The sequence below is a fragment of the Homo sapiens genome, chromosome 6 (genome assembly GCF_000001405.40).
Source record: "Homo sapiens chromosome 6, GRCh38.p14 Primary Assembly".
NCBI classification, from domain to species: Eukaryota; Metazoa; Chordata; class Mammalia; order Primates; family Hominidae; genus Homo; species Homo sapiens.
The window spans coordinates 36,173,118-36,194,148 of record NC_000006.12 but is presented as its reverse complement, the minus strand read 5'-3'; the positions used below and the strand labels follow the sequence as shown (position 1 = coordinate 36,194,148).

Below are 21,031 nucleotides of genomic sequence, written 5' to 3'. Positions count from 1 at the left end.
ATACTTGACTAAAAGAATTCTGAAACCACAGTTGGGAGGAATGTTTGAGGTTGGAATCATTGTGATACTTTTTTTTTTTTTTTTTTTTTTTTTGAGACGGAGTCTTGCTCTGTCGCCCAGGCTGGAGTGCAGTGGCGGGATCTCGGCTCACTGCAAGCTCCGCCTCCCGGGTTCAAGCCATTCTCCTGCCTCAGCCTCCCAAGTAGCTGGGACTACAGGCGCCCGCCACTACGCCCAGCTAATTTTTTGTATTTTTAGTAGAGACGGGGTTTCACCGTTTTAGCCGGGATGGTCTCGATCTCCTGACCTCGTGATCCGCCCGCCTCGGCCTCCCAAAGTGCTGGGATTACAGGCGTGAGCCACCGCGCCCGGCCGATACTTTTACACTAATTAAAATGGTTTAAGAATGTAAAGTTTGCTTGGAAAATGGGAAAAGTTTAGCTAGGTTAACAACAGGTCTTAAATAGAGTAACATACCACACTCTCTAGATTTAATTCCATTTATGTATTTCTAAAACGTATTCATTGACCACTTAGAGTGTGTCTAATACTGCACAAGTTCTTTGGAAAATAATGACAAAATCTCAACCTAGAAAGGGACTAATGATCATAAGTATAGATAGAATATATTTTTTCTTGCCTTGAGTAGTGTGCAATCCAGAATGGTAGAAATAAGTAGAAAACACATACAAGAAAAAATAGATAAGGCAGTGAAGAGTATGGAGCCACCATTATTCAAAGAAGGCTTCTTGGAGAATGGGAGACTTCTTTAAGCCAAGTTCTAAATCATGATGGATGTGAACTGGTGAAAAGAGTGTAAAGTGACATTGGGTTGGTGACAGGACAGTCCAGGCAAAGGGAAAATATGCAGGGAATAATGCGGAAATTATCCTAGCTGGTATGTATGGGCAGATGATAAGAAAAAGATTGAATTGGGTAGGAGGTATGGCAAGGGGACAGGGATAATAAAAATAATACCTAACACTTATGTACAAGGTACTGTGCTTAGTGCTTTATATACTCCATTTATTAAAGATCTTTGTTGCAGTTAGCAGAAAACCAACTTAAGTGAGTTTAATAAAGGAAATAAACTCTCATAACCAGAAAGTCCAGGGGTGCATCTAGCTATAGACAAGATCGAGTCAAAGGACTCGAATTATGTCATCAGCATACTGTATCTTGCAATTTCTCAGCCATCCTGAGCCAATAACTGTGGCCAGAGGGACATGCTGCTTGTCATGTATCAACTCCTAAAACCAGAGGACATGAGCAGGAGAAGATTGTACAATGGGGTAGTAGGTACATGTACAAACTAGGTCCAATATGCACACCATATCTTATTTATCAACTTACTAACTCTATAAAATGTTACTGTTATCCTCTTTATGTATTGGAGAAAGTAGAACAGGAGATCCGGTAAACCTGGAAGAGTTTACTATAGGTAATTAGGCATTATGAAAATAAAAAGGCATTAAGCAGAATGATGGAAAATGTGTTAGAGAAAGAGGAAAAGGAAAGGTCAAATCAGAAATCAGATGACAAAGCAACTGTTTTGTCTGATTGGACATAAGAACAAAGGAGAAGATTGAAGAAGAATCTAAGTTCAAACTTTGTAGGTTCTCACAGTTTGGTACAATCATTGCAAATTAAGAGGTGGCAAAGGGTTGCTCGGGAGCTCCTATTGGAGGTGGGAACCTGAGGATTGAAGAAATGATGAAATCAGCTCAAGTTCTCTGGAACCTCTTTTGGTCACACTGAAATACATATTTATTCAATTACTATTTGTGAGCTGCTGGTAAGGTTCTATTTTATGGCTGTAAAGGCCACAAAGGTGAAAAGAGTATGCTTGCAGACTTGAAGGCATTTAGATTCTAATCACAGTATAAAGCAAGGGTATTTATAACTGGAACGTGCTACAATATAAGCACTTCAAGAGAGATGCAAACGAAGTGCCAAAGTTTGGAGGAGGGAGTGAGCTCGTCTGTTTAGGAGAAGAGGGAAGGCTCTGTGAAGAAAGTGCTATCTGAGCTCTACCTGAAAGCTCTCAGGTAGGTGTGTCAGCTAGAAAGATGGTAGAGGGAGTGTGGTCCAGGCTGAGCCACCCGCATGAGCAAAGAGGAAGAACGTATCAAAGAATAAAATTTCAACAAATGAGTCCCAAAGATCCAATTGGCTTTATTAGCTGTTTATGAACTGGGCAACATCCAGTCTACAAAATAGAAAGGAGTTCCTATGAGCTAAACAAGTAGGTGAGTTTTATAGGCAGAAAGAAGTGAAATAAATCAGGAACAATGAGCAAATAGCAGATTGGTCTTTTCAAGATTATTTTTCTTTATAGGAATGTAAATGAAATCTTGTTGGTTTAATGGGATTTGACTATCATCTCTCTCCTGATTTCTTGAAGAGTCAGATCTTACAGTAAAATACAGGTTTTGGTTTGGTGTCATGGAACCTCTCAGCATGAATGACTCCATTTGGGGTCTGCTGTCTTTTCTTTAACACATGGAATGCCATAAGATTGTTTCAGGAAACAGTGGGTTACCCATTGACCCAAAAATGAGGGATATGAGAGAGAAGGCTGGTAAGGTAAAGTCAGAGCATGGAGACTGTTGGTTGGGTAGGGAGCTAGACATGAAGGGGCAGGAGACCCTGATGATTTTTGGAACAGGGAAATGACTTCAATAGTTCCATGCTTTAAGTTCTAGTCAGGCAAGAGAGTGTGATACGGTATGGTTTAAATTAGCTATCCAGTGTGGCTTGCATTATCTTCTGAACTTGAATTCTAGCTAGAACATTTTACCATATACTCAGTGGAATGCTAAACCAAGCAAGCATGAAAGCAAGTAGTATGTGACAAGTATAAATTGTTCAACTTGATCTAATGTCTTATCTTTTCAACCTTTAATTAGGATTTCTATTAAATCCTAAACTCTTAACTGTGAGTGAAGCCAGGACACTATAAAATATAATTCCATATTTTAGCAGAAGTACCAACCCTAAAAGTAGCCATCTTCTTGGCATAATTTTACTAAAGGGAGAGAAAATACACAAAAATAATAGCACATACTAAACTAGAACCTGCATTTTGACAAGATTTCCATAAGTAATTTATATGCATATTAAAGTTGAGAAACAGTGAATTAGAGGATTTTAGAGAATTCCAGGATTAAAATACTCTGAGAAAAAGGTAAAGTTAAAGGATTAATATTAGCTTTTGATTACTCCAGAATACCTATAATAATAAAATACATGTTTCCATTTATATGAAATTCTGGAAAATGCAAACTGCTCTATAATGATAGCAGATTGGTGGCTTCCTGGATGTGAAGGGGAGGAGGGACTATAAAGGGCATGAGGAAACTTTTTGGAGTGATAGAAACATTCTGTAAGTTGATGGCAGTGGTGGAGAAACAGGTATATATACATTTGCCAAAACTTAAACTGTACAGAGTAGCTGTCTTTTATTTTACATAAATTTTACCACAATTAAGTTGATAAAGCATACCTGTTGCAATTTTTAGACTAATCATTAACATTAAAAGAATGAAAAAATGAGGATGTAACTCACAAACTAGTACAGAGTAAAAAAAGAATAAAAAATTCGACCAACCTAAAAGAAGTCAAGGAAAGAAAAGGAAATATAGTAAAGGTGAAACAAATAGAAAACAATGAAATGATGGCAAATTTAAATTCAATTTACAATTTACATTGTACATTGTAGAAAGAGTAGTCCACAATGAGTGGGACATTTCTGGAAAAGTTTAATGATTGCATGGTTAAAATAATGTCTGGCTTGACAACATGCATTGGTCCCCACTCCCTCCCCTAACTTCAATAATGTTAGTAAAGGATAAAAAAATCCACAAGACAATGAAATCCACAAGAACAAAGAGAATGAGGGAAAACAACAGCAGGTGAGATTTACTATCTCAAGAAATTGAACTAAAGAAGTTCTAGACTTGGGGCCACCAGGAACCAATGAAGACAGCGATGAAGTGTCATACTGAAAACGGAAATTAAAGGGAATCTCTGCATACTAAATAATAAGATGCTCCCCCGAGCCCCAATCATCACCATCACATGTTCTTCCCTAGACTGATGAGGGAGGGGAAATCTGGTACAAATTGCTGGAATCTGGTGGTGCAGAAGGGGGCTAAGAGAAAATTTCATGAAAACATTTCTAGTCAGTCCATCCTTTTAGTTGAAATAAATGTTTCATAGATCAAAATTCTTAGTGGTCCTGCCTCTTCCCCCAATCACATTGCAAAACACTGGAAGCCAGGTTTATTTTAGAATTTTGCTAGTGTTTGTTTTTGTTTTTTGAGATGAGGTCTTGCTCTGTTGCACAGGCTGGAATGCAGTGGTGTGATCACAGCTCACTGCAGCCTCAACCTCCCAAGCTCAAGCGATCCTCCCACCTCAGCCTCCTGAGTAGCTGGGACTACAGGGACACAGCATCATGCCTCGATAATTTTTTTTAAGAGACAGGGTCTCACTTTGTTGCCTAGGCCGGTCTTGAACTCCTGTGCTCAAGCAGTGCTCCCAACTTGGCCTTCTAATGTGCTGGGTTCGTAGACGTGAGCCACCACCCGCAGCCAGAACCTTGCTACTTAGATTATTGTTCAAGAACCGATAGTATTGACATCTCCTGGGAGTTGGTTAAACATGTGGAATTTTAGGCCCCACTCTAGACCTACCAAACCAGAATCTGCTTTTTAAGATCTCCCTACATGTTTCATATGCATATTAAGATTTGAGAAGCAATGGATTACAGAATGTTAGAGAATACCATGATTCCTCTCTGAAGATGGAGAAAAGACCTATTTATGAATACTGGCGATGGAACATCTTCACTAAAACATCCAGCTTGTCACCTTTTGCCTTATGCTGAAGCTCACCTGGTATCAAGCATTCCCCACCCCTACCCCAACACACATAGAGTTTTAAACAGCTTTAAAAAAAACTACCTCTTAACATTGAATAAACAACCAAAAACCAACAGATATATGAAGAAAGTATCATGAAGGTCAGAATCCAAGAAAAAAGAATGGGGAAAACAATATAGAGAACCAAAGAAGTCTTAACAAACAAACAAAAATCTCTAAGAGCCTCAAAGAGTAGCTGGCTGGGGTGATGGTTCATGCCTAATAATTCCAGCACTTTGGGAGGCCAGAGTGGGAGAATCGCTTGAGGCCAGGAGTTTCAAACCAGCCTAGGTGACATAGCAATACCCTGTCTTCATTTAAAAAAAAAAAGTGCTGGGCATGGTGGCTCAGGCCTGTAATCCCAGCACTTTGGGAGACCAAGGTGGGCGGATCGCCTGAGGTCAGGAGTTTGAGACCAGCCTGGCCAAAATGGCAAAATCTCATACCTACTAAAAATACAAAAAATTAGCTCGGCGTGGTGGTGGGCACCTGTAACCCCAACTACTCAGGAGGGTAAGGTAGGAGAATTGCTTGAACCAGGGAGGCAGAGGTTGCAGTGAGCAGAGAGAGTGCCACTGGACTCCAGCCTGGGCAACAGAGCAAGACTCCATCTCAAAAAAAAAAAAAAAAAAAATGGGGAGGCCAGGCACTGTGGCTTACACCTGTAATCCCAGCACTCTGGGAGGCCAAGGTGAGTGGCTCGATTGAGCCCAGGAGTTCAAGATCAGCATGGACAACATAGAGAAACTCTGTCTCTACTAACAAAAAAAAAAATTAGCCAGATGTGCTGGCATGTGCCTGTGATCCCAGCTAGTTGGGAGGCTGAAGCGGGAGGATTGCTTGAGCCCAGGAGGTTGAGGCTGCAGTGAGCCAAGATCGCACCACTGCACTCTGGCCTGGGTGACAGAGACCTTGTCTCAAAGAAATAAAGATAGCAAGGGGAGGGGAGAGAGAGAGAGAAAGGGAAGGAGGAAGGAAAGGAGGAAGAAAGGACAGAAAAGAAGGAGTCAGAAAAGAGCAAATCTTGAATATTAAAAATGTGAAAAAATTTTAAAGACTGTAATGGAAGAGTTAGAAGGTGAGGTTTAACAACTCTCCCAGAGAGAAAAGGAGATGGAAAATAGGACAGAAAAGAGAATAAAAAAGAGAATTTGAGGATGAATTTAAGAAGCTCAACATCCCATTTACAGTAGTTCTAGAAAGAGATGAGAATTTTCCCCAGAAATGAAGGTAGTGAGTTTCCAGAATGAAAGTCTCCTTCAGTGCTCTGGTACAATAAATGCGAAAAGATCTAAACCAAGAACACTAGTGATAGAAAAAGAGAGAATCCAAAAAGTTTTTGGAAAGGAAAAGCAGGTCAGATACAAAGAACTAGGAATCAGAATGTTATCAAGCAGCTATAAGGCAATGAAAAAACTCTTTCAAATGCTGAGGAACAATGTTTCCAATGGAAAAGTCTATGCCCAGCCAAAATATCAAGTGTGAAAATAGTATAGACATTTTCAAACATTCAAGATTTCACAACATTTATCTATACTTCCTCAGGAAATAACTGCATGACATTTTTCACAAAAAATGAGGTAGAAAAAAAAACCAAGAAAAGTAAAATACATGGGATCCAGGAAATGGCTTTGGAGCTGAGTCCCTGCCGAAATCTCATGTCAAATTGTAATCTCCAGTGTTGGAGGTGGGGCCTGGGTGGGAGGTGATTGGATCATGGGGGCAGATTTTCTGCTTCCCCTTGGTACTATCATCACAATAATGCGTTCTCATGAGATCTGGTTGTTTAAAAATGTGTGGCACCTGCTCCCACCCTTCTTCCTGCTCCAGCCATGTATAGTGTGGGCTTCCCCTTTGCCTTCCTCCATGATTGTAAGTTTCCTGAGGCCTCCCCAGAAGCAGATGCCACCATGTTTCCTGTATATAGCCTGCAGAACTGTGAGCCAATTAAACCTCATATATCTATTTAATATATATTATATATTTAACATATATTATATATTATATATATAATATATTATTTAATATATATTATATATTATATATATAATATATTATTTAATATATATTATATATTATATATATAATATATTATTTAATATATATTATATATTATATATATAATATATTATATAATATATTATATATTTATTTTATATAATATATTTTATATAATATATATTTTTATATATATTATATATTTAATATATTATATATATATATAAACCAGTTTCAGATATTTCTTTATAGCAATGTGAGAATGGACTAATACAGGATTAAATGTAAAAAAGAAGCAAAAGATATCCCCAGGATTACAATGAAGGGAAATTCAAGGAAGAGAATTGTGTGGCAGGTCTCAAGTGAAACCATTGGAGTAGGAAGACAAAGGACTCCAGAAACAATTGGAATGGATAGATTAACACATACATTTGACCATATGAGAGGAAGTTTTTCAATATTGATGAAGAGTTTCTGGATGGATTTAATAATGTATACATAAAAAATAAAAATTTTAAATTAGAGAATTACTAATTCCAAGAAAGATAACTCACATTGTTTTAGTCTGTTCTCATGCTGCTATAAAGAACTGCCCAAGACTGGGTAATTTATGAAGGAAAGAGGTTTAATTGACTCACAGTTCAGCATGGCTGGGGAGGCCTCAGGAAACTTGCAATCATGGCAGAAGGGGAAGCAAACACATCCTTCTTCACATGGCAGCAGCAGCAATAAGTAGAATGGACAAAAGGGGAAAAAGCACCATATAAACCCATCAGATCCCATGATAACTCACTCACTATCACAAGAACAGCATGAGGGTAACTGCCCCATGATTCAGTTACCTCTCACTGGGTCCCTCCTGTGACACATGGGGATTATGGGAACTACACGATGAGATTTGAGTGGGGACACAGCCAGACCATGTCACACATGGAAAAGAAATACAGATTGGGTGCAGTGGCTCATGCTGTCATCTCAGCACTTTGAGAGGCCGAGATGGAAGGATCCCTTTGAGGCCTGCAGTTTGAAACCAGACTGGGTACCATAGCAAAACCCTATCTCTAAAGATTTTTTTTTAAATTAGCCAGGCATGGTAGTGCATGCCTGCAGTCTCAGCTTCTCAGGAGGCTGAGGTGGGAGGATCACTTGAGCCAGGAGTTCGAGGTTACAGTGAGCCAATCTTGTATGCAGATCCTTCAAGGATGGTAACCAGACCAGGCACGTAGTTGGCATCTGGAGACTTGGATTTTAGGCGTGTTCTCCACCACTCTAACTGATAAGAGTGACTCCACTGGGAGAGGATTCATGGAAGCTTGGGCCTGGTTTCCTCTGGACTTCACTCCATGTGTATTTTCCCTTCACTGATTTTGCTCTGTATCCTTTCAACATGTCACAGCCATGAGTACAGCTGTATACTGAGTCCTGTGATTCCTTCTAGAAAATCACTGGACTTGCGGGTGATCTTGGGGACCCCAACACACATATTTTAATCCAAATATCTCATTAAAATAATAGGGTTGGGTTCAGTGGCTCACACCTGTAATCCTAGTGCTTTGGGAGGCTGAGGTGGGCAGATTGCTTGAGCCCAGGAGTTCATCTGGTACAAATTCCAGCAATTTTTTTGTCTCTACAAAAAAAATACAAAAATTAGGCAGGCATGGTGGCATCCACCTGCATTCCCAGCTACTTGGGAGGCTAAACTGGGAGGATCAGTTGAGTCCAGGAGGTTGAGGCTACAGTGAGCCATGATGGCACCACTGCACTCCAGCTTGGGTGACAGAGTTAGGCCTTGTCTCAAATAAAATAAAATAAAACTAAAAATAAATAAAACATTAAATAGTGTAGTTACAGGATGTGTGCTTGCAAGTAAAAAAAACAACTGATCTAATTTTTTTTTTTTGAAAGATGGAGTCAAGGCTGGGCTCAGTGGCTCACACCTGTAATCCCAGCACTTTGGGAGGCCAAGGCAGGCAGATCTTTTGAGGTCAGGAGTTCGAGACCAGCCTGGCTAACATGGCAAAACCCCGTCTTTACTAAAAATACAAAAATTAGCCGGGCATAGTGGTGGGTGCCTGTAATCCCAGCTACTCAAGAGGCTGAGACATGAGAATTGCATGAACCCAGGAGGCAGAGGTTGCAGTGAGCCAAGATTGCGCCACTACACTCCAGCCTGGGTGACAGAGCAAGACTCTAAGAAAAAAAAAAATTAATTCAACCTTTTTGTGCCTCAAGCACAAAAATAATTTATTGGAAGGGTTTAAGGAGGGCTCACAGAATTGACAGGAGACTGGAGGAGGAAGCTATAAAGCAAATATAATCTAGCCTGATCATTGCCACCACTGCCTATAATGTAAGTAGTATCTTAAATTTTTCTCCTGTTAGTTGTATTGAAGATATAATTAATTTTTGCATATTCATTTTATATTTAGCCACCTTGCTAACCTGTATTCTAATAATTTGGCAGGTTAAGAGTTTTCTCTATAGAATTATACATTTGCGAATAATAGTTTTAATCCTCTCTTTCAAACATTAGACCTTTAATTTCTTTTTCCCCCAGCTTTACTGAGATATAATTGACAAGTAAAAATTGTACATATTTAAGGTATACAATGTGATGTTTTGATATTTGTATACATTGTGAAATGATTACCACAAGCCTGTCTTTGGCTTATTTCACTTAGCATAATGTCCTCCACATTTGTTCTATCCAGTCAAGTCCAGTGCTGAAGTTGCCACAAAAGTGGCAGCAGAGAAGTTCCTGCAAGGGACTGACCAAACCATCCTGACATGGAGAGAGTAGGGCTTCCAAAGAAAGAAGCATTAAATGCCAGAATGATCAGTCCAAAGCATTAATCAGGGGGAACTTATGTACAGAGTGCATCAGCAGTCCTCATGATGGACAGTGAGAAAAAAGATGTTCTACCTAGGTATGTCAACAAAGAGGTTGGATTATAAAGTTTATATGGGGGGGGGGGGTTAAGGAGTTTGGCTCAGGGCCAAGGCTATTTTCTACATATTTGGCAATATGTTGATGTTTCAGTGTTTTGGACAACAACCTATACAAATTTATCAGTTCATGGAGATGTTCAAGGTCCCAGCTTGGGTTCAAGCCCATAGGAGAAAACATGCAGCTGGCCAGGCCATAGAATGGTCAAGGCACTCTGTCTCTGAGTCAAAACAAAGAAAGAAAGCAGGGGAATCTGGGAACTCTGCAAGGTTCATCCATGTTTTCACAAATGACAGCATTTCCTTCTTTAAATTTTTTTAGAGACAGGGTCTTGCTATGTTGCCCAAGGCTGGATTCATCTCCTGGGCTCAAGTGATCCTCCCATCTCAGCCTCCCAAGTAATTAAGACTACAGGTGTGAGCCACAACACCTGGCTATTTTTTTAAAAATTTTTTTACAGATGAGGTCTCACTAGGTTGCCAAGACTGAACTCAAACTCCTGAGCTCAAGCAATCCTCCCACTTCAAACTGCTGGGATTGCAGGCATGAGCCATCATTCCTGGTGGATTTCCTTCTGTTTAAGGCTGAATAATATTTCATTGTGTGTGTTTATCACATTTTCTTTATCCATTTATCCATTGGTGGAAACTTTGATTCCAAATCTTGGCTGTTGTCAATAGTGTGGCCATAAATAGTGGAGTGCAGGTACCTCTTTGACATAAGTCCTTTTGTTTCACTTTGAAGAACTTTCCTTAGCATTTGTAAGGCAGGTCTAGTGGTGATGAACTTCCTCAGTTTTTATTTGTCTGGGGAAGTCTTTATATCTCCTTGATTTGTGAAGGATAGCTTTGCTGGAGTTGGCAGTTTTTATTGTTGTTATTTTCTTTCAGCACTTTGAATATATCATCTTAGTCTCTCCTAGCCTACAGGGTTTCTGCTGGGAAGTTCACTCATAGTGTTACGGAGTTTCTTTGAACGTGACAAGTCTTTTTCTTTTGCCCTTTTCAAAATGCTCTCTTTGGGAATTTGATTACAGTGTGTCTCGGTAAAAAATCTCTTTGTGTTTAACTATCTGGGTTTTTGGGGGAATTAATGGACCTGGATGTTCATTCCTTCTCCAGATTTGGGAAGCTCTCTCTCGTTATTTCTTTAAATATTATTTCTGTCCCTTTATCTTTCTCTTCTTCTGGGAATCCCATAATACATACATTGGTTCACTGGACAGTATCCCACAAGTCCCATGGGCTTTCTTCATTCTTTTCCATTCTTTTTTCTTTTTGTTTCCCTGGCTTAGTAATTTCAAATGTCCTGTTTTTGAACTCACAGATTTTTTTCTTCTGTTTGATGGAAACTGCTATTGAAATTTGTATGTGGAATTTTTCAGTTCAGTGTTGTGTTTTTCAGCTCCAGAATTTGTTTGGTTCTTTTTATGGTTTCTATCTCTGTTGAACATCTCACTCATTTTCTTTATGTCTTGTTTTCCTGATTTTGCTTAGTTGTCTGTGTTCTCTTGTAGCTCACTGATCTTCTTTAAAATTTACTATTTTTAATTTCTTGTCAGGCAGTTCATAGATCTCTGTTTCTTTAGAGTTAGTTACTGGTGCTTTATTTTGTTCCTTTAGTGGTGGTGTCATGTTTTCCTGATTATTCGTGATCCTCATTGCCTTGTGTTGATGTCTGTGCGTTTGAAGAAGTAGGCATCTCTTTCAGTCTTTGCACGCTGGCTTCAGCAGGGAAAGCCCTTCACCAGTCAGCTTGTCCAGAGATTCTGGGCAGGCCAGCTGGTGGGGTCTACGAGAAGGCTTATTGCTGGAGTCCCTGGACAGCATGGCCTAGTGTCTGAATCAGTGGGCAGGCAGGCCTGGTGCCTGGGTCTAAAGGGACAAGCCAGAGCCTGGGGTCCACTGGATGTATATGGTATCATTTCTCTCTCTCTCTCTCTCTCTCTTTCTCTTTCTCTCTCTCTCTCTTCCCCTCTCCCCTCACCCCAACTTTCAGCACAATATTGGATAGAAAAAGTGATAGTATAAATCCTTATCTTGTTATTTATTTAATTAATTTATTTATTTGAGACAGGGTCTTGCTCTGCCACCCAGGCTGGAGTGCGCTAGTGTGATCACAGCTCATTGCAGCCTTGACCTCCTGGGCTCAAGCAATCCTCCCACCTCAGCCTCCTGAGTAGCTGGGACTACAGGTGCATGCCACCACACCTGCCTAAATTTGTGTATTTTTTGTAGAGACAGGGTCTCACTATGTTGCCCAGTCTGATTTTGAACTCCTGGGCTCAAGCAGTCCTCCTGCCTCAGCCTCCCACCATGCCCAGCCCTGGTTACATAGTTAAGAGGAATGCTTCTGACATTTCCCTATCAAGAATGATGTTTTCTATAAAGGTATGTTAGATACTCTTTAATAAATTAAGGAAAATCATTTCTACTTTTAATTGTTTTATCATCACAGATGTTGAATTTTATCAAATGCTTTCTCTGCATCTATTGAGATAATAATTGGTTTTCTCCTTGTGATATCGTGAAGTATATATTTGGTCTTTATTCTTGTTTCCTGACATACAGTCCCTAAAACCCTTGAAATCCCTGAAGGGGATTTCATGATAAGGGGGTGATAATGATAATTGATAAGGGGATGTTTTGTATGCTAGTGAGATGACTAGTGGCTGGCAGCTCATAGGTAGCTTCAGGATGGGGGCTGGTCACAGGAAAGACCAAGGCATTATTAGAGAGTTGGGATATTTAGCCCCACCTCCCAACATCCAAGGAGGGGAGAGAAGCTGAAACTCAAGTTGATCACCAATGGCTAATGATTTAATCAGTCATGCATATGTAATGAAGCTTCCATAAAAACCCAAAAGGACTGGGTTTAGAGAACTTCCAGATAGCTGAACATGTAGAGATTCCTGGAAAGTGGCAGGCCTGGAGAGAGCATGGAAGCTTCATGCCCCTTCTCTCATACCTCACCCTATGCATCTCTTCCATTTGGCTGTTATCTATATCCTTTGTAATATCTTTTATAATAAATGGATGAATGTAAGTAAAGTGTTTCCCTGAGCTGAGTGAGCTGTTCTAGCAAATTAATCAAACCCAAGGAGGGAGTCATGGGAATCCTCAATTTATAGCCAATTGGTCAGAAACTCAGGTTGCACAATGTAAGCACAATCTATGCTTGCAACTTGCATCCAAAGTGGAGAGGAGTCTTGTGGGACTGATCTCTCAACCTATGGGTAGAGAACTCCGGGTGGATAGTGTCAGAATCAAATAGAACTAAAAGACACTCAGATGTTATCTGCTGCAGAACTGATTGCTTGCTTGATGTGTGGGTATAAACCCCCACACATCTGGAGTCACGGAAGTGTTCTGTGTTGTGAGGGTATAGTAGGAGAAACTGAGTTTGTTTTTTTCCATACCAAGTACCCCTTTAATCTTTAATGTGAATAATTGTTTCCCTAATATTAAACCATTCTCTTAGCAATGGAAAATTCTGCTTACAAAAAATATATGTATTAAACCATTCTTGCATCCCTGGATTAGCCTGACTTTCTCATTATTTATTACCTTTTTAAAATATCTCACTGATTTGGTTTGCTAATACTTTAATATTTTTACATATAGGCTCCAAAGTGAGATTGTCTATAATTAGATTGTTTAGGGAATCAAGTTTTATTTACCTCATAAATGAGTCGAGAATATTTTCTCTTTTTCTATTTTCTATAAGAGTTTGTATAACATTGGAATAAGCTGTTTATTGAAAAGTTGGTAGAACTCACTATCTTACTGTGTTTCTGCTGCTGTAACAAAATACCTGACACTGGGTAATTTATGAAGAAATGAAATTTATTTTCTCACAGTTCTGGGGGCTGGAAAGTCCAAGATCAAGGTGCCAGCAGGTTTGGTGCCTGGTGAGGACCTAGTTTCTGCTTTCAAGTTAGCGCCTTGTTGCTGCCTCTTTCAGGGGATGAACACTATGTCCTCACATGGCAGAAGAGATGAAAGGGCAAAAGGAACTGACTAGTTCTTTGGGCCCTTTTATAAAGTCACTAATCCCATTCATGAGGACTCCACTTCATGAATTAATCATTACCTAAAGGGGTTACCTCTTTGTTTTATTATCCCCCCTGTTTTGACACAGAAGAATTACCTACCTCTTAATACTATTATATTGGTGAGACTGCTTCAACTTGAAACAATATGAGTTTTAGGGGACATTCAGATCATATAAATTATTTAATCCTGATGGCTTCATTGTAAGAAGATTTTTATTAACTTCAATTTCTTTACTGGTCATAGGACTTATTTCTTCTTGAAGTATGTTTTCCTAGGATTTTGTTCATCTAAGTTTTAAAAAACTTTTTTTTTCATCTCTGATCCTTCTGTAGTTATGTCCCCCTTTGCATTACTAATATTTTTTCTCCCTCTCTCTTCTCCCCTCCCCCTGCCCCCTGTAGTTTGTCAATTTTATTAGTTTCTTCCCTATGTAACAAGCTTTGAATTTGTTGATCCCCTCTATTGTACTTTTTAAAATACTTTTTAAAAATATCTCATTTTATTTTGTTTTTATAGGTGGTATCTCACTGTGTTATCCAGACTGGACTCAAATTTCTGGGCTCCAATGGTCCTCTCACCTCAGCCTCCCAAGTAGTCAGGACTACAGGTACACACTACTGTGCGTGGCTATTGTATTTTCTTGATTGTTGCTTTAATAATTTTTATGTGCTTCCTTTTACTTTCTTTGAGTTCATTCTTTATTTTCTACTGTCATCGGTTGGGTGCTTAATTATGTCATTTTCAGGTTTTAATTTCTAATATAAGCATACAAGACTATATAAGTTTACCTTGAATTACCACTACTATTTTGTTTCCCAAGTCTTGATACACAGTATTTTTATTATTGTTCATTTCTAAATATTTTTTACACTTTTATTACAATTTCATCTTGGATTGAAGTATTGTTTCAGGAGTATGTTTAATTAAATTTTGAGATAATTATAGATTCACATGCAGCTGTAAGAAATAATAGAAAGAGATCCTGTGTACACTTTACCCAGTTTCCTCCCAATTTGTAAAATTTCTCCTATTTGTAAAACTATAGAAAATATCACAATCAAGATACTGACATTAATGAGAAATCAGCTGTTAGTTTTACCGAGGATCCCTTATATGTGATGAATTACTTCTCTCTCACTGCTTTCAAGATTCTGTTTGTCCTTCGCTTTCAACAATTTGATTATAATGTGTCTAGGTGCAAATCTTTTTGAGTTTCTCGTATTTTGAGTCTGCTGAGCTTCTAAAATGTGTAGATTAATGTTTTTCACAAATTTGGGGAGTTTTGGCCTTTTTTTCTTCCAGTATTCTTTTTAGGTCTCTCCCCTCTGCTTCTTTGATTTATTTTATATGTATGATAGTACACTTCATGGTGTTTCACAGATCTCTGAAACTCTTCATTTTCTTTATTCTTTTTCTCTCTGTTTTTCATATTGGGGCATCTCAATTGACCTTTCTTCCAGTTTGCTGATATTTCTTTCTGCTAGCTTGAATCTACTATTGAGCTCCTCTAGTGAATTTTTCATTTCAGTTATTGTACTTTTCAACTCTGGAATTTCTGTTTGGTCCTCATTTATAATTGTATCTTTGTATCAATATTTTCTAGTGAGACATTATTCTCATGCTCTTCTTTAGTTCTCTAGATATAGTTTTCTTTAATTGTTTGAACACATTTATACTATCCTATTTAAAGTCTTTGTCTAGTAAATCCAACATCAGGGCTTCCTGACAGTTTCTATTCATTGCTTCCCCCCACCCAGCCCCCACGGTGTATAGGTTATTTTTCCTGTTTCTCTGCATATCTTATACACTTTTATTGAAAACTAGATGTTTTAAATAATAAAATGTGGCAACTCTGGAAATCAGATTCCCCCTCTTCCCCAGAATTTATTCTTGCAATTGCTGTTGCTCCTGTTTGTCTAGTTACTTTCCTAAATTAATTCTGTAAAGTCTGTATTCTTTGTAACGTTTGGCCACTATAGCCTCTGCTTTCTTAGCTTAGTGATCAGGTAATAAATGGACAGATATTTTCTTAAATGCTTTGAATTGATAAGTCTCCCAGCCTTTGCCAAAGGTCTGTGTGTGTGTGTTGGGACATATCCATAAAGCTGTACCACACACTAGACAACTCTGCTTTAGTCTTTACTTTCTGCTTGTGCAGAACCTCAAGGTCTGCCAGTGGTTAGAGATTAAGGTCTTCTCAAACCTTTCCTGGGTACGCACATAGTTCTGGGCAGGGATACAGCCTGTACATGCATGTGGTCACCTGTACATGCATGTGGTCATCTACATTTCCGGGAAATCTGATTAAGCTTTCCAAACACACTTATAAACTTCTTAATCCAGCTGGGCAAGGTGGCTCATGCTTGTAATCTCAGCACTTTGGGAAGCCGAGGTGGGCGGATAATTTGAGGCCAGGAGTTCGAGACCAGCCTGGTCAACATGGTGAAACCCCATCTCTACTAAAAATACAGTAATTAGCCGGGCATGGTGCTACATGCCTGTAATCATAGCTACTCAGGAGGCTGAGGCAGGAGAATCACTTGAACCCAGGAGGCAGAGGTTTGCAGTGAGCCAGGGTCGTGCCACTGCACTCCAGCCTGGGCAACAGAGCAAGACTCCATGTCAAAAAAAAAATCTTATTCCTCAGTTTTTCCTTATAATCTTTTTTTCCCCCAAATGTTATCACCTCAGGCACCTGAGATGTTAAACAATTGCCACTAATTGTTTTCCATAAATACTCCAAAGAAAAGGCTGTTCACAGTAAATGAACCCTGAGTCAGTTCCAATAAAGACCAACCCTGAGAGCCCCTGTGGTTTCCAGGAAACTGCCAGACAAGTCAAAGAATAACTAATGGAAGATGAGCATTTAGGGGAACTCCAAGCCCATTCTGCCTGCTTCAGTGACTGCTAGGTTGCTGGTTTTCAGGGTTACCATGATTGAAGGTTGTTGGTTTCCAAGGCTACTATGGAACTACAGAAAGAGGGATGGCAATAGGACAAGTTAAAATGCCACCAGTCTTGCTCTTCTTATGAGATTTAGCCATGTGTGTGTGTGTGTGTGTGTGTGTGTGTGTGTGAAAATGCTCCTCAGACTTTTGTGAGCCTTTGGTTAATTTTCAGAGTTCTAAAAATGTTGATTTTAACAATTTTTTGCCAGTGCTCTCATTGCTTTTCTGAAGAAATCAATTTTTGGCGATTTTTACTCCACCATTCTGAATGCAGTTCCAATCATATTGACATTAATACAGTCAAGATACAGAACAATTCCATCACCACAAGGATCTCTTGTGTTGTTCTTTTACAGCCACGTGCATTTCCTTCCTATTACTGTCTTAGGCCCTGGCAACCACTAATCTGTTCTCTATTTCTATAATTTTGTTATCTCAAGAATTGTATAAATGGAACCATGCAGTATATAGCCTTTTGGGATTTTTTTCACTCAGCATGATTCCCTGGGGGTTTATCCAGATCATTGCCTTTATCAATAATTTGTTATTATTGCTAAGGAATAATCCATAATATGGATGTACCACTCTTTATTCACCCACTGAAGAACATCTGAGTTGTTTCTAGTTTAAGGATTTATGGATAAAGCTGCTGTGAATATTCATATACAGGTTATTATATGAATATAAGTCTGTCTTTCTCTGAGATAGATGCCTAGAAGTGTAATTGTTGAGTCATACTTCATTTAGTTTGTTTTTTTTTAAGAAACTGCCAATCTGTTTTTCAATTCAGCTCTACTATTTTACATTCCCACCAGCAATATATGAATGATTTGGTTTCTCTGCATACTTGCCAGCATTTGATGTTGTCAAAATTTTTTATTTTAACTAGAGAGAGTATATGCTAATATTTTATTGTGGCTTTAATTTGCATTTCCCTAATGGCTAATGATATTAAACATCTTTATATGTGCTCATTTGGCATCTAATTGGATTATTTTTTACTGTTGAGTTTTGAGGGTTCTTTTGAGAGTATATTCTGGATACTAATCCTTTGTTGGATATGTGGTTTTCTTCAGTTTTTAGCCTTTCTTTTTATCTTGTCAACAGGGTTTCTGAGAAAGCAACAGTTTTTTAATTTTTTATAGAGTCCAATTTATCAATCTCTCCTTTTATGAATTATGTTTTGGTGTCAAGTCTAAGAAATTGTTGCTAGTGCTAGGTCTCAAATATTTTCTCCTATTTTTTTTCCTAAAAGTTTTATAGTCTTGTTCTTTACACTTAAGTCTGTGATCTATTTTGAGTTAATATTTGTAGAAAGTATGAGACTTACTTCAAAGTTCATGTGTTTTTGTTTGTTTGTTTTGCATATGGATCTTCAATTACTCCAGTGCCGTATGTTGAAAAGGCTATCTTTTCGTCATTGAATTGCTTTTGCACCTTTGTCAAAAATCAGTTAGACATTTTTGTGTAGGTCTATTTCTGAGTTCTCTATCCTGTTATATTGATCTGTATCTCTCCCTCTGCCAATACCACACAGTCATGATTAGTGTAGCTCTATAAAAATCTTGAAATTGGGAAGACTGGTTCCCCCACTTTATTCTTTTTTCCAAATTATTTTGGCTATTCTATTTGTCTTTTCACATAAATTTGGGGACTAATTTTGTGTATTCTACATAAAACCTTGCTGAGATTTTAGTAGAAATTTTATTTAACTTATATATCAATCTGGGGAGTATTGACATTTTTAGAAGTGTGTTTTTAAATTTATAAATACATGGAGAGTTCCTTTCTTTTCTTTCCTTCCTTCCTTTCTTTCTTTCTTTCTTCTTTCCCTTCCTCCCTTCCTTCCTTCCTTCTTTCTTTCCTTCTTTCTTTCTTTCTTTTCTTTCTTTTCTTTCTTTCCTATGGAGTCTCGCTGTGTTGCCCAGGCTGGAGTGCAGTGGCACGATCTCGGCTCACTGCAACCTCCGCCTCCCAGGTTCAAGTAATTCTCATGTCTCAGCCTCCCACGTAGCTGGGATTACAGGCACTTGCCACCACGCCTGGCTAATTTTTGTATTTTTAGTAGAGACAGGGTTTCACCATGTTGGCAAGGCTGGTCTTGAACTCCTGACCTCAGGTGATTCGCCCACCTCAGCCTCCCAAAGTGCTGGGATTACAGGTGTGAGCCAGCACAGACAGCCTTTTTCTTGATTATTAACATCTCATTTAATTCTAGTGTAGTCAGAGAATGCTATTATTATAGCAGTTATTTGAAATTTGCTGACACTTTATGGACTAGTATTTAATTTTTATAAATGTTCCACATGTGCTTGAAAAGAATGAATATTCCCTAATTTTTAGATGTTCTATTGTGTTCTATTGTGTGATCAAAAACTAATCCTGCCAGCCTGGCCAACATAGTGAAACCCTGTCTCTACCAAAAAATATAAAAATTAGCTAAGCATGGTGGCACATGCCTGTAGTCCAGCTACTGGGGAGGCTGAGGTGGAAGAATCACTGGAACCCAGGAGGTAGAGATTGCAGTGAGCCGAGATCGCACCATGGCACTCCAGCCTAGGCGACAGAGTGAGACCCTACCTCCAAAAATAAAACAAAACAAATTAATTGTGTTATTCAAATCTTTTTTATTTTTTTAACCAATTTTTTTGTGTACTTATAACCCCCTATTTTTAAAATTATATAACAAACTTCTTCCTTCCTAATAATGTTTTTGTCTTAAAATCCATTTTCTCTAATATTAATATAACTACCTCAGCTTTCTTTTGTTAGTATTTGTCTGGATTAGTCTTTTTCATCTTTTTGCTTTCAACCTGTTGACTTATGTTTTAAGTGAGCCTATTGTACAGTATATTAATGGACTTTGTTTTTATTTCAAATTTAAGTATCTCTGTCCTAAATGGCACTTTTAGGTCATTAACTTTATTGTAATTATGATATATTTGGCCTTATTTCCATCACCTTGCTTTGTGCTTTGTCCCCTTTTCATTATATTCCCCCCACCACACGCATATACACATTTCTTGTCTCATTTTAGATTTTTGCCAATCTTTCTTTCCTTCCTTCCTTCCCTCTCTCCCTCCCTCCCTCCCTCCCTCCCTCCCTCCTTCCCCCCCATTCTTCCTTTCTTTTCTTTCTTTTGCATATATCTTCTCTCTATTGGTTTGGAAATTATACATTCTAATTTTATTATTTCGTGGTTACCATTAAAATTTCACCATGCATACTTTAAAATGTCTTGAGCTAATCAAATCTGTAAGTCTTCTGAACAACATAGTTTCCCTCTGAGGTTCTGAATCTTCAGATTCAATCAATTGCTGATTTAAAATATTTGAAAAAAATTTGGCCAGGTGCGGTGGCTCATGCCTGTAATCCCAGCACTTTGTGAGGCTGATCACCTGAGGTCAGTTCAAGACCAGCCTGGCCAACATGGTGAAACTCCGTTTCTACTAAAAATACAAAAATAGCCAGGCGTGGTGGCAGGCACTGGTAATCCGAGCTACTTGGGAGACTGAGGCACAAGAATCGCTTGAACCCAGGAGGCAGATGTTGCAGTGAGCCAAGATTGCACCACTGCACTCCAGCCTGGGCAACAGAGTGAGACCCTGTTAAAAAAGAAAATTAGGCCTCAGTAAACCTGATATTTTTAAAAAGAAAAAAAGAAATTGTATAATTAACCACTTTTGCACACCAAATATAAATGGTACAAGTGGGGATGAGGAATTTTAAAATTCATTAAAATGTATAAATATATACCCAACGAGGAAAGAAATATGGGTAGAGGTGACAGTCCCTATTCTGTAATTGCTTATGGGGCTGTGGTTGACATGTATAAATTTTCCTCTCTGTAATTTGTGTCATGTTCCCTTTGCCTTCACAAAAGAACTCAGTAAGTTGGAGTTTCTTACCAAACTCACCTCATAAGAATTACTTCCTTGGTAAATCTGTCTTCAGGGATATAGCAGTCTTCCATTAACTTTTTCCGTTGGATATGGTTGTTTAAGACCTGCTCCAGAATAGCAGACCTGAGTTCTATTAAGATTTTCCTATCCCGAGGTCAAGGCTATAGTGAGCCATGATAGTGCCACTGCACTCCAGCCTGGGTGAGAGAGTGAGACTCTATATCAAAATTTTTAAGATTTCCACATCCCCACTTTG

At 38.6% G+C, this 21,031-nt stretch overlaps 1 long non-coding RNA gene across 2 annotated transcripts in view; it reads left to right on the top strand.

Moving 5' to 3' along the window:
* Positions 1-21,031, top strand: part of BRPF3-AS1 (BRPF3 antisense RNA 1) — a 50,512-nt gene that overhangs the window by 3,055 nt on the left and 26,426 nt on the right. For both annotated transcript variants that reach the window (NR_187147.1, NR_187146.1), the window contains exon 2: positions 14,442-14,532. This is a non-coding gene — a long non-coding RNA (BRPF3 antisense RNA 1). The remainder of the gene's footprint in view (positions 1-14,441; positions 14,533-21,031) is intronic.